The sequence below is a fragment of the Homo sapiens genome, chromosome 6 (assembly GCF_000001405.40).
Source record: "Homo sapiens chromosome 6, GRCh38.p14 Primary Assembly".
In the NCBI taxonomy this organism is placed as follows: domain Eukaryota; kingdom Metazoa; phylum Chordata; class Mammalia; order Primates; family Hominidae; genus Homo; species Homo sapiens.
The window spans coordinates 89,447,724-89,461,484 of NC_000006.12; the positions used below are offsets into that span (position 1 = coordinate 89,447,724).

The window sequence follows — 13,761 nt, forward strand, 5'->3', positions numbered from 1 at the left end:
TGTTGCCCAGGCTGGAGAGCAATGGTGTGATGTCGGGTCACTGCAACCTCTGCCTCCTGGTTCAAGCGATTTTCCTGCCTCAGCCTCCCAAGCAGCTGGGATTACAGGCATGTGCCACCACGCCCAGCTAATTTTTTTTTTTCAGTAGAGATGGGGTTTCTCCATGTTGGTCAGGCTGGTCTTGAACTCCCAACCTCAAGTGATCCGCCTGCCTCGGCCTCCCAGAGTGCTGGGATTACAGGCGTGAGCCACTGCACCCAGCTCCATTTAGGACTTTCATAGCTAGAAAAGACAAGACAATGCTTGGCTTTAAATCCAAAGAATAGGCCGACTCTGGTTAGGAGCTAATGCAACTGATGACTTTAGTTGAAGCCAGTTCTCATTTACCATTTGGAAAATCCTAGGACATTTTAAGAATTATGATACGTTGGCCAGGTGAGGTGGCTCACACCTGTAATCCCAGCATTTTAGGAGACCAAGTCAGGAAGATTGCTTGAACCCAGGAGTTTGAGACCAGCCTGGGCAACATGGTGAAACCCCATCTCTACAAAAAATAAAAAATTAGCCAGGTGTTGTGGCATGTGCCTGTAGTTCCAGCTACTCAGGAGGCTGAGGTAGGAAGATCACCTGAGACTGGAAGGTTGAGGCTGCAGTGAGCCATGATTGTGCCACTGCACTACAGCCTGGGTGACAGCAAGACCTTGTCAAAAAAGAAAAAAAAAAAAAGAATTATACTACATCTACTCTGTCTGTGCCGTATAAATGGAACAGCAAAGCCCAGATGACAGTACATCTATTTACAGGTGGTTTACTGAATATGTTAAGCCCACTGTTAAGACCTACTGCTTAGAAAACAAGATTTCTTTCAAAATTACTGCTCATTGACAATGTACCTAGTCACCCAAGAGCTCTGATGGCATTGTACAAGGAGATTAATATTTTCATGCCTACTAAACACAACATCCATTCTTCAGCCCATGGATCAAAGAGTTAATTTCTATTTTCAAGTCTTATTTAAGAAATATGGCCGGGTGCGGTGGCTCACGCCTGTAATCCTAGCACTTTGGGAGGCCGAGATGGGCGGATCACGAGGTCAGGAGATCGAGACCATCTTGGCTAACACGGTGAAACCCCGTTTCTACTAAAAATACAAAAAATTAGCCGGGCGTGTTGGCGGGCGCCTGTAGTCCCAGCTACTTGGGAGGCTGAGGCAGGAGAATGGCATGAACCTGGGAGGCGGAGCTTGCAGTGAGCCGAGATCGCGCCACTGCACTCCAACCTGGGAGACACAGCGAGACTCCGTCTCAAAAAAAAAAAAAAAAAAAAAAGAAATACATTTTGTAAGGCTATAGTTGCCAAAGAAAGTGATTCCTCTGATGGATCTGGGCAAAGTAAACAGAAAATCTTTTGGAAAGGATTCACCTTTGTAGATGCCATTAAGAACATTCATGATTCATGAGAGGAGGTCAAAATGTCAACATTAACAGGGTTCTGAAGAGGCTGATTCCAACCCTCGGGTCACTTTGAGGGATTCAAGACTTGGTGGAGGAAGGAAATGCAGATGTGGTGGAAATAGTAAGAGAACTACAGTTAGAAGTGCAGCCTGAAGATGCAACTGAATTGCTGCAATCTCATGATAAAACTTGAAAGGCTGAGGAGTTGCTTTTTATGGATGAGCAAAGAAAGTGGTTTCTTGAGGTAGACTTGTGAAAGTTGCAGATACCAGATGAAATCACTTTTTGTCAGACCCAAACAAACTAGAGCCAGGAGAGCATGAAGGGGAAGGCTCATGTTTGCATGGCTGAGATAAAGACTGTCTCAAAGACTTTCCAAAATAACCCTGCAAATAATTATTTCTTTAGAATTGCAGCAATTCAGACAAGATGCTCTCAAAAGCATACCTGCCCAGTAACGGCATTTTCACCAATGAACCTATGCCATCTCTGAGTCCCTGAAACCAATGAGCTCTGTTTTCAAGCACCTTATGTGAACCTCTCATTCTGCCAATAAAAGCTTCCCTTTACCCTCCCCTCTTCAGTTGCATATGTGGCTTGCCATTGTGCATCTCAGTTTATAATTCTCTTTTCTAACTCCCGAAAAAATTTAACATATTTGGAGATATTTTTTGGTTGAAAGAATCTATCTCGGGTGAAGATGCTGTGAATATTGTTGAAATGATGACAGAGAATTTAGAATATTACATAAAATTAGTTGATAAAGCAACCACTGGGCTGGAGAGGATTGACTCTGATTTTGAAAGGAGTTCTGTGGATAAAATGCTGTCAAACAGCTGTTACATGCGACAGAGAAATCTCATTAAAGAAAGAATCAGGCTGGGCACGGTGGCTCATGCCTGTAATCTCAGCACTTTGGGAGGCTGAGGTGGGTGGATCACCTGAGGTCAGGAGATCCAGACCAGCCTGGCCAGCGTAGTGAAACCTCGTCTCTACTAAAAATACAAAAATTAGCCGGGTGTGGTGGCAGGCGCCTATAATCCCAGCTACTCGGGAGGCTGAGGCAGGAGAATCACTTGAACCCAGGAGGTGCAGGTTGTGGTGAGCCTCGCGACAGAGTGAGACTCCATCTCAAAAAAAAAAAAGAGGAAGAATCAGTTGATTCAGAAACTTCATTGTTGTCTTTATGAAATTGCAACAGCCACCCCAACATTCAACAACGATCACCCTGATCAGTCATCAGCCACCGGGCTTGAGACAAGGCCCTCCACTAGCAAAAACATTATGACCTACTGAAGGTTCAGATGATCATCAGCATTTTTAGCAACAAAGTATTTTTATCTTTATTTATATATTTTTCAGAGGGAGTCTCACTTTGTTGCCCAGGCTGGAGGCAGCAGTGTGATCATAGCTCAGTGCCACCTTGAATTCCTGGGCTAAAACAATCCTCCTGCTTCAGCCTCCCAAGTACCTAGGACTACAAGTCTGCACCACTGCAGACTTTTTTTTTTTTTGTAGAGATGGGGGTCTCACCAACTTGACTAGGCTAGTCTCGATCTCCTGGGCTCCTGCTTTGGCCTCCCAGAGTGCTGGGGGTTACAGGCGTGAGCCACTGCACCTGGCCAATAAAGTATTTTTAAATAAGGTATGTACATTGTTTCTTTTAGACATAATACTATGGTGTAGTAAATAGACTACGATATAGTGTAAACATAATTTTTATATGTACTAGGAAACCAAAAAAATTGTGTGACTCATTTTATTGTGGTACTTGCTTTATTATGGGGGTCTGTAACCAAACCACAGTATCTCCAAGGTATGCCTCTATAATTCAAATTACTAAAATTCAGCCGGGTGCCATGGCTAACGCCTGTAATCCTAGCACTTTGGGAGGCCAAGGTAGGTGGATTGCTTGAGCCCAGGAATTCAAGAGCAACCTGGGCAACATGGTGAAACCCCATCTCTACAAAAAATACAAAAAGTTAGTAGGGCATGGTGGCGTGTGCCTGTGGTCTCAGCTGCTCGGAAGGCTGAAATGGGAGGACTGCTTGAGCCTGGGAGGTGGAGGTTGCAGTGAGCTGAGATCACGCCACTGCACTGCAGCCTGGGTGACAGAGTGAGACCCTATCTCAAAAATAAAATGAAATAAAATTCAAAGTACATCCTCTTTTCAGGAGCTCATCCTTGTCAGGAAGGTAGAAATACCTTTGTGGACTGCATTCTCTAAAGTTTGCAAAATAAACAGCCATCTTCTATTATTAAAATGGTAGCTCTGTATCATTTCTTTCTCCCCTCCAAAATGTGTGACAGGTCTAATTTCTCTCTAGATACCATAATTTCCTTCCATTTTATTACTAAATCCTGGAGAAAAGCCCATTTTGAAGAAAACAGAGCTTACAGCTTTAAAAACTGATTGTTATTTTGATATACCAAAACCCAGTTTTGCCTTTATGCTCAGTGCATTTCTGTCATTGTACGTCCTAAACTAACTAATTTATATTCTTCCCTTGGTACTTAAAGAATCAAAAACCCTAACACTGTACTTGTAATTGACTGGTTGTGTTAAAAGTGACCATGTTTTTGTGCATCTAAAAATAGAACATAAAATATTGTATCTGATTTTGCTCCAGGACTTCTGTGGTTTCTTATTATAACCCCCTCTGCTACCCTTTGAAATTCCTTTAATGTCAGGGACATTTACTTTAAGAGTAAGATAATACATCTTAAGAGACTTTTAGGCTGGGCATAGTGGCTCACACCTCTAATCCCAGCACTTTGGGAAGCCAAGGCAGGAGGAATACATGAGGCCAGGAGTTCAAAACCAGCCTGGGAAACAGCAAGACCCCATCTCAGCACCACTAACAAAATTAGCCAGGTGTGGTATTCCCAGCTACTTGGGAAGCTGAGGCAGGAGGATTACCTGAGCCCAGGAGTTGAGTCTGCAGTGAGCTATGATTGCATCACTGCACTCCAACCTGGTCCACAGAGTGAGGCCCTGTCTGAAAACAAAACAGAAGACTTTTAGTATATGCTATGAATTTACTAGCTAAGTAAATCGGATGGAGTTAATATCCCAGTTACGTAAAGTTGTTCTTCTTACAGTGTTAATGAAAGATGGGTACAAGAGAAAACATTTTCCCCAAATTTAAGCAAGTAGAAGCTATGTAACTCCTGATGGATTTTGTATGAAAAAACAACATCAGAAGCTATTCGATATTTAAGTGAGGGGGGAAATGTTATAATACTAAATCTAGAAGGGAAACCAAAGTATTGATTGTAACCTACTCAGATGTCATAAATCTACAGCAGAGCTGCCTGAGCCCCACAGAGTAAATGACATTCATTAAGGCTGAATGTATTGTTGCACTAGGATCAGGGAGGCAAACTGTTTTACTATTGTCTGCAAAGCCTGAACCCTCCACTTGAGAAATAATTTAAATAAATAAATTTTTTTGAAGCCAGTGACTCTCTTTTGGCCTGACAATTTTTTTTTTCTTTCTGATTAGCAGTAAGTAATGTGCTAAATCCCCAGACCCCGCACCCAAACCTGGCTGAATTACCTCACTTGGAAATGGACAATAAAGATGCCCTTTACGAGAAGTCTGTTTCATGAAAGACTGGCAGGTTTTAAAGAGAGGAGTGTAAACCTGGCGGCCAGGAAGGCCTGGGTTCTGATTTCATGTCAGACAGCAGCCTTTGTGCCCTCTGCCAAGTAACTTTCTGTGGCTTTTCTTTTCTTTTTTCTTAGAAAGGTGACCGCTGGACTGATGGTTCAGACTGGTCCTCATGAACTAGTCTGCGGCTCCCATGGATTTGAGCCAGTAACATTATTTTAGCCTCACAAATTTTCATAAGGCAAACACCCTCATAAAACCATCACTCTGGTCAGAAATAGAACTTTGCCAGTCACCCCAGAAGCTCCTCCTTGTTTTCCATCCCAATTGTCATTCCCTTCTTCCAAAAGTAACTACAGGCGGTTCTTGCTTTACACAACATTATGGTACTGTAAAAATGATAGCTCATGCTGAAACACTGATAAGCTATCCTAATAATCAGTGGGAAAAATTGTGACTGACTGTTCTGGAACCTTTTAAAATTTTTGTCAAAACATTAAAAGCCCTTTTACTCTCTGTTATAATTGTATAGGGAAATGAAAACATAGTAAAGTGTTATACCCTGTAATTTAAAACATTAGCAACATTAGAATAAAAGGTTTTATTTCTTTGTAAAAACTTATCAAGAGTAGTTTGAATAGTGCTTGCCTTCTTTTTTCTCATCATATAACTTATGATATACAACAAGCATCTTTTCTTTGCCTTGATGAATTTTTATACTCCTTTTGAAGTTTGGATCAGCTTCCAAGATTTTATACTTTGTGCTTTCAATGTTGGGAAGTGCCTCCAACAATTCCTTTTTTTTTGAGATGGAGTCTCACTCTGTCGCCTAGTTAGGAGTGCTGTAGCGCAGTCTTGGCTCACTGCAACCTTTGCCTCCCAGGTTCAAGCTATTCTCCTGCCTCGGCCTGCCGAGTAGCTGAGACTACAGGTGCACGCCACCCAGCTAATTTTTGTATTTTTTATTTATTTATTTATTTATTTAATATTTTTATTTTATTTTATTTTATTTTATTTTTTAATTTTTTGAGATGGAGTCTCGCTCTGTCGCCCAGGCTTGAGTGCAGTGGCATGATCTCGGCTCACTGCAAGCTCAGCCTCATGGGTTCACGCCATTCTCCTGCCTTAGCCTCCGGAGTAGCTGGGACTACAGGCACCTGCCACCACGCCCGGCTAACTTTTCGTATTTTTAGTAGAGACGGAGTTTCACCATTTTGGCCAGGATGGTCTTGAACTCCTGACCTCAGGTGATCCACCCGCCTCACCCTCCCAAAGTGCTGGGATTACAGGCATGAGCCACCATGCCTGGCAAGAGTTCCTTTAATGCGAAGTTTTTGCTGGTGTCATTTCTTCATTTTTTTTCATCTCAACCACTTTTCTCATGTAAGTCAGTAATTTTTCTTTATGAAGGTCTTATGGGTGCACATCTAGAGTCTTCGCATGGTGGTGATGCTGACATTCCCATGGTCAGCTATTTCTTCTATATGTAACTCTGTTTACATTCTTTTCATATTTTACTTCCAGTGTTAATCACTTTTCATTTCTTTGCTACACTTTCATCTTTGTTGGCCAGTTTCTTCCTTCAATTTATTCATTTTGTAAAAGTTATGTGGGTTTATCCCTGGGAGATCAGGAAGCAACACAGATACTTGGTTTGCTCTCTGTGCAAGAACTGAATAACAGATGAGGAGTGACCAATCAGAGACTTGGAAAGGAGTGATGTAATTGGTCACTGATCGTGATGCACATCTGTTAATTACATAGTGAGCTGTGGCCAGAAGAGCTATTTGTGAAGTCTGTACTTCATGTTGTTTCTCAAAGTTAATTCAGTGTGGTAAGTAAAATTTGAGGTACGTCATTGGGGCACTGCTGTAGTTTAACTAAACTGGAATTGAAATTGTACATATTGGAATCATGTAAAGTGAAGACTACCTGCATGATTCTTTTATAGCAATCATTTCCCTGTATTTTTTTTATAGTTCTACGAACCAAATGTACATTTTTAGATAACGTAGTTTGGTGTTGTCCCTTTAGATGTTTTTGTTGTCTTCTGAGGTTTGTTTGTTTGAGAGGGAGTCTTACTCTGTCACCCAGGCTGATGAGCAGTGGTGCGATCTCAGCTCACTGGAACCTCTGCTTCCTGGGTTCAAGCGATTCTCTTGCCTCAGCCTCCCGAGTAGCTGGAATTACAGGTGTGTGCCATGATGCTCATCTAATTTTTTTTGTATTTTTAGTAGAGACAGGGTTTTGTCATGTTGGCCAGGCTGGTCTCGAACTCTCGATCTCAAGTGATCTGCCCACCTTGGTCTCCCAAAGTGCTGGGATTACAGGTGTGAGCCACCACACCCAGTGTGTGTGTGTTTTTTTTTTTTTTTAATCTATGTGTTTTCCGTCTGTATTAGGCCATTCTTGCATTGCTATACAGAAATAGATGAGACTGGGTATTTTATAAAGAAAAGAGGTTTAATTGGCTCACAGTTCAGCAGGCTGTACAGGAAGCATGGTGCTGGCATCTGCTTGGCTTCCAGGGAGGCCTCAAGGAGCTTTTACTCATGGTGGAAGGTGAAGGGGGAGCAGGCACTTCACATGGTGAGAATGGGAGCCAGAGTGGAGGAGGTGCCATATACTTTTAAAGAACCAGATCTTGTGAGAACTCACTCACTATTATGAGGACAACACTAAGCCATTTGATGTGGTTTCAGTCTGTGTCCCCACCATATCTCATGTGGAATTGTAATCCCCAATGTTGGAGGTGGGGCTGGGTGGGAGGTGATTGGATCATGGGGGCAGAGTTCTCATGAATGGTTTAGCACCGTCCTCTTGGTGCTGTTTTCATGATAGTGAATGAGTTATCACAAGATCTTGTTGTTTTAAAAGCATGTAACACCTGCCCCCTCTCTCTTCCTCCTGCTCTGGCCATGTAAGATGTGCCTGCTTCCCCTTCACCTTCTGCTATAATTGTAAGTTTCCTGAGGCCTCCCCAGAAGCTGATATTGCCATGCTTCCTGTACAGCCTGCAGAACCGTGAACCAATTAAACCTCTTTTCTTTATAAATTATGCAGTCTCAGGTATTTCTTTTCTCTCTCTCTCTTTTTTTTTTCTGAGATGGAATCTTGCTCTGTTGCCCAGGCTCTGCAGTGGTGCAATCTTGGCTCACTGCAACCTCCACCTCCCAGGTTCAAGCGATTCTCCTGCTTCAGCCTCCTGAGTAACTGGGATTACAGGCACATGCCATCATGCCTGACTAATTTTTTGTATTTTTAGTAGAGACAGGATTTTGTCATGTTGGCCAGGCTGGTCTGGAACTCCTGACCTCAAGTGATCCACCCGCTTTGGCCTCCCAAAGTTAAGTATTTCTTTATAGCAGTGCAAGAATGGACTAATACACCATTGATGAGGGATCTGCCCCACCCCTATGACCCAGTCACCTCCCAGCAGGCCCCACTTTTAACATTGTGGATTACATTTCAGCATGAGATTTGGGAGGTGACAAATATCGAACTCTGTCACTCTCTATCTTAGTTTGCCAGGGCTGCCATAACAAAGTACTATAGACTGGGTGACATAAACAATAGCAGTTTATTTTCTCACGGTTTTGGAGACTGGAAGTCCAAACCCAAGGTGCTGGTGGAATTGATTTCTCCCAAGGCCTCTTTGGCTTCAGATGGCCACCTTCTCTCTGTGTTCTCACTTGGTCTTGCCTCTGTGCGTGTGCATCCTTGGTGTCTCCAGTCAGACTGGGTTAGGGCCTACCCTAATGGCCTCATTTTAACTTAATTACCTCTTTCAGGGCTCTGTCTCCAAATAGTCACATTCTGAGGTATTGGGAGAGCTTTAATATATGAACTTGTTCTGCCCATAACACTGTCCATACCTTTCTTTTCTTTATTACTTGTCTATCAAAATAGCTAGGCTGTTTACCACTAGTCTCATAAAACATAAATTATGGCCACAGAAATTTTATATTAAAGTGTTAGGATCATCCATGAAGGACAGCATTGAAGATTAGCCTGGATTAAGTAGGGTAAAATTATGCTCCAGTTACTAAGGCTTTCTAACAAATTACCCTAAAACTTGGTAGCTTAAAACAGCAACAATGATTTATTGTATCTCAATACAATAAATCAGTCAGTCAGGAATTAATTAGAAAGTGACCTGGCTGAGAGGTTCAGACCTTAGTCCATAAAGGCAATTGCAGTCACATGCCAGGTGGGGCTGCAGTCATCTGAAAGGTTGACTGGGGTGGGATGGTTCCCTTCTAAGATGGTGCATTCACATGGTTGGGATGTTGGTGGTGGCTGCTGGAGGCTGTATCTCCTTTCCACTGGCTGCTTGAATTTCCTCAAGGCATGGCAGCTGGCTTCCACCAGAGCAAGTGATTCAAGATGCTAAGACAAGCTGCAGTGCTTTTCATGTAGCCTCAGAAGTCATGTATTGCCACTTTCACCATGTTCTATTGGTCACACATACCCAGCCTTGATCCACTGTGGAGGAAGCCTTCACAAGGGTGTTAATTATAGGACCTCAGGATTATTGGAAACTGTCTTGGAGACAGACTACCATAAATTGGAGTGGTAAAAAGTGTCTTATTTTTGGGAAACCTGTTTGCAAGTCTCCATCTTCAAATGCTCACTTACCTTACGTGCATGTCATCAAAATTAAACATTACTAAATGCTATCTTTCTACTTCTCACTTAATGAGGTAATATTTTTAAGAGTTTTCAGGATAAATTTTTATGCTTAATCTCTCTATCTGACTAACAAAAACCATTATACTAATCCAAATACATATATTTATCTATTAATAGATTTATCTTCAACTTTATCATTTATTTAAGATACTGGTCTTAAACCAAATGGCGGATCATGAACTCTAAAATATGGCAGTAGATTTTGGCTTATGTTACTGGGAAATATTGTGACTCTCAGGCTAAAGTAATAACTTTGCAGCTTGCTGAGTGAACCCTAATAAGTTGATTGAGTTATATTTTTTCTCAGTTTTTTGGTCTGCTGTAAATGAAAAGAGAATTTCTCATTGTTATAGACTGAATGTTTGTGTCTCCCCCGCGAATTCATATATTGAAACCCTAACCCTCAATGTGATGGTACTAGGAGGTGGGGCCTTTGGGATGTAATAAAGTTGTGAGTTTGGAGCCTTCACGAATGGGATTACGTCCTTATAAAAGAGACCTCAGAGAGCTTTCTAGGCCTCTTGCCACCATGTGAGGATACAATGAGCAGATGGTGTTCTATGAACCAGGAAATGGGCCCTCACCAGATTCCAAATCTTCTGGTTTCTTCATTTTAGACTTTCTAGCCTCCAGAACTGTGAGAGATAAATGTTTGTTGTTTAAGCCACTGAGTCTATGGTATTCTGTTATAGCAGCCAGAACTACTAAGACACGAATCATTTTTAATGGTGAAAATAATAAGTGGAAATTATGAGGAAAATTGGTAATGATTTTGGGCTATAACTGTGGAAAAGTAGAATATATGTGTGCATTAGGTTTCTTTAGAGGGACAGAACTAACAGGATATATGTAGGTATGAAAGGGAGTTTATTAAGGATAATTGATTCACAAGGTTAAAGTCCCACAGTAGCCTGTCTGCAAGTTGAGGAGCAAGGAAGCCAGTGGTGGATCAGTCCAAATCCCAAAACCTCAAAAGTAGGGAAGTTGACAGTGCAGCCTTCAGTCTGTGGCCAAATGCCCAAGAGCCCCTGGCAAATCACTGGTGTAAGTCCAAGAGTCCAAAAGCTGAAGAACCTGGAGTCTGATGTTTGAGGGCAGGAAGCATCCAGCACGGGAGAAAGATGAAGGCTGGAAGACTCAGCAAGTCTGCCCTTCCATCTTCTCCTGCCAGCTTTATTCTAGCTGAGCTGGCAGCTAATTAGATGGTGCCCACCCAGATTGAGGGTGGATCTGCCTCTTCCAGTCACTGACTCACATGTTAATCTCCTCTGGCAACACACTCACAGACACACCCAGGAACAATACTTTGCATCCTTCGATCCAATAAGGTTGACACTCAATATTAACCATCACAGTGTGAAATTCCACTGAGGAGCTGTGTCGTGGTCTTGGCTAGTTCTTGGCCTATGCTGTCTTGGGGTTCAGCACCATGGGCAGCTACTCCTGCCATGCCCTGCCACCCCCACATTTGACATGCAAAAGGGGTGACAGACAACCTTGGGCAGTGTGGAGGGGTGTGCACACCTGTGGTATAGGCGCTTCGTGTCCTGTTGGTTCAGAGTTCACCTTTTTTTTGTCTTCTTAAAATGAATATGTCTTTTTTTTTAAAATTGAGACGGAGTTTCACTCTTGTTGCCCAGGCTGGAGTGCAATGATGTGATCTCGGCTCACTGCAACCTCCGTCTCCTGGGTTCAAACGATTCTCCTGCCTCAGCCTCCCGAGTAGCTGGGATTACAGGCATGTGCCACCACACTCAGCTAATTTTGTATTTTTAGTAGAGACGGAGTTTCTCCATGTTGGTCAGGCTGGTCTCGAACTCCCGACCTCAGGTGATCTGCCCGCCTCGGCCTCCCAAAGTGTTGGGATTACAGGCATGAGCCACCATGCCTGGCTGAACATATCTTTAAATTCATCCCCTCAGTGTCCATAAAACCAGCATAACTTAGAGGAGCCTCAGGTTAATTTAAAGCTTCTGTGCCAGAGGACTGAACTCTTGAATGTCCATTCTTGGTTCAGTCCTCTAGCCTCTATTTCCAATGCCATCTAAGGATTTCACCAGCCTTGTAAGGGTTAGGGTTGTTTTAAGCTCACTGCAGCCTTTAACTCCTGGGCTCAAGTGATCCTCCTGCTTCAGATTCCTGAGTAGCTAGAACTATACAGGTGTGTGCCACCATGCTCAGCTAATTTTAAAAAATATTTTTAGAGATAGAGTCTTGCTGTGTTGCACAAGTTGGTCTTGGACTCCTGACCTGAAGCAATCCTCCTGCCTCAGCCTCCTGAGGAGCTGGAAATACAGGTACAAGCTGCTGTGCCCAGCTTAGGGTGGTTTTTATTTAAACATTATGACAGTTATAAGGAGACGTATCAGGCTCTATCTTCTTTCCATAAACATTTACTCTGCTTAATTATTATGGACAAAGAAAGCTGACAGTAGTATTTCTAATGTTTCTAGAACCATGCTGCTACTGTATAAAATTGATTAAATATTATCCTTGGAATATATCCTGGAGAGCATACATTCTAAGAAATAAAGTATTACTTTTTATTCAAATCATTCACTTTCCCTTTGTGGCAGTCTTTTAGAAATTGCCCTATTGGGGCTCTTCCTCATGTTTCCAAACTGAGTATCCAGACAGCCTTTTCCTATAGCACACTAGATATGAGAAAAATGAGACCTGAAAGATCATGATCACAGAGACAGGAAACTTACCTGGCATTGATGAATTTGGATAATAATGTAGTTATTATAATATCAATTAACAAATTTTTTCTTTTTTTACTTAAAGTTTTAAAATATAATTTTCCAATTCTCCTAGATCCTGACTTTTTTTCTTTTTAAGAGAGAGAATATAGACAATATTTATATGCCAAAGCAACTTAGATAAGTAACTATTAAAATTTCAAAATTTTGAAAGTAAGTTTCAAAAATACCTTATAGATTAGCAAGTTTTTTTTGTTTTTTGTTTTTTTTGAGACAAAGTCTCGCTTGTCGCCCAGGCTGGAGTGCAATGGCGCAATCTCAGCTCACTGCAACCTCTGCCTCCCAGGTTCAAGTGATTCTCCTGCCTCAGCCTCTGAGTAGCTGGGATTACAGACGCCTGCCACCACACCTGGCTAATTTTTGTATTTTTAGTAGAGACGGGGTTTCACCATGTTGGCCAGGCTGGTCTCGAACTCCTGACCCCAGGCAATCCGGCTGTCTTGGCCTCCCAAAGTGCTGGGATTACAGGCGTGAGCACCCAGCCAATTTTCTTTTTTTTAATGAGGTTATTTTTCTCTCAAGTTTTTTTTATTAAATTTGCTACTTAGGATCATTTCAGAATGAGAGAGTGGAGAGGGAGAGAAAGAAATGAAATAATTATCTCAGAGTCACCATATCTACACTTACTGGAATGTACTAATACTACATCGGTGTTTTGGAATTCTTTTTTTTTGAGACCGAGTCTCCCTCTGTCATCGAGGCTGGAGTGCAGTAAGCTGTTCACAGCTCACTGCAACTTCTGCCTCCCGGGTTCAAGCGATTCTCCTGCCTCAGCCTCCTGAGTAACTGGGATTACAGGCATGTGCCATCATGCCCGGCTAATGTTTGTATTTATTTATTGTTTTTTTGGTAGAGACAGGGTTTTGCCATATTGGCCATGCTAGTCTCTAACTCCTGACCTCAAGTGAACCGTCAGTCTCTGCCTCCTGAAGTGTTGGGATTACAGGAGTGAGCCACCGCACCTGGCTTGGTGTTTTGGAATTCAAAGGAGAGTTTTGTTAATAGTTCCTTGAGATTTACATATACCTTGGAAGAAACTGAACTTTTTGAAATTGGGATAAGCAGTTTCAGGTATCATATATGCCTTTCACATAAAGGCACATATGATATAAGAGTACATTAGTTGATGGGAGAGAATAGAATTAGTGAGAGATGAGATTTCTTATGTGCTGCAGTATTATGCGCTGTTTGTAGGAAGTTATGTAGTTACCCAAGTGATACAACAGTGAGAAGTAAGAG

At 42.2% G+C, this 13,761-nt stretch overlaps 1 protein-coding gene across 8 annotated transcripts in view, besides 1 other annotated feature; it reads left to right on the forward strand.

Moving 5' to 3' along the window:
- Nucleotides 1–13,761, forward strand: part of ANKRD6 (ankyrin repeat domain 6) — a 200,683-nt gene that overhangs the window by 14,572 nt on the left and 172,350 nt on the right. The gene's annotated exons all lie outside the window — the stretch shown is intronic.
- Nucleotides 1,643–1,843: a silencer, noted in NCBI's record as "peak5952 fragment used in MPRA reporter construct". NCBI's record gives its function as "represses an SCP1 promoter by STARR-seq MPRAs in K562 erythroleukemia cells {active_cell/tissue: K562}" and the evidence as "EXISTENCE:reporter gene assay evidence [ECO:0000049][PMID:32103011]".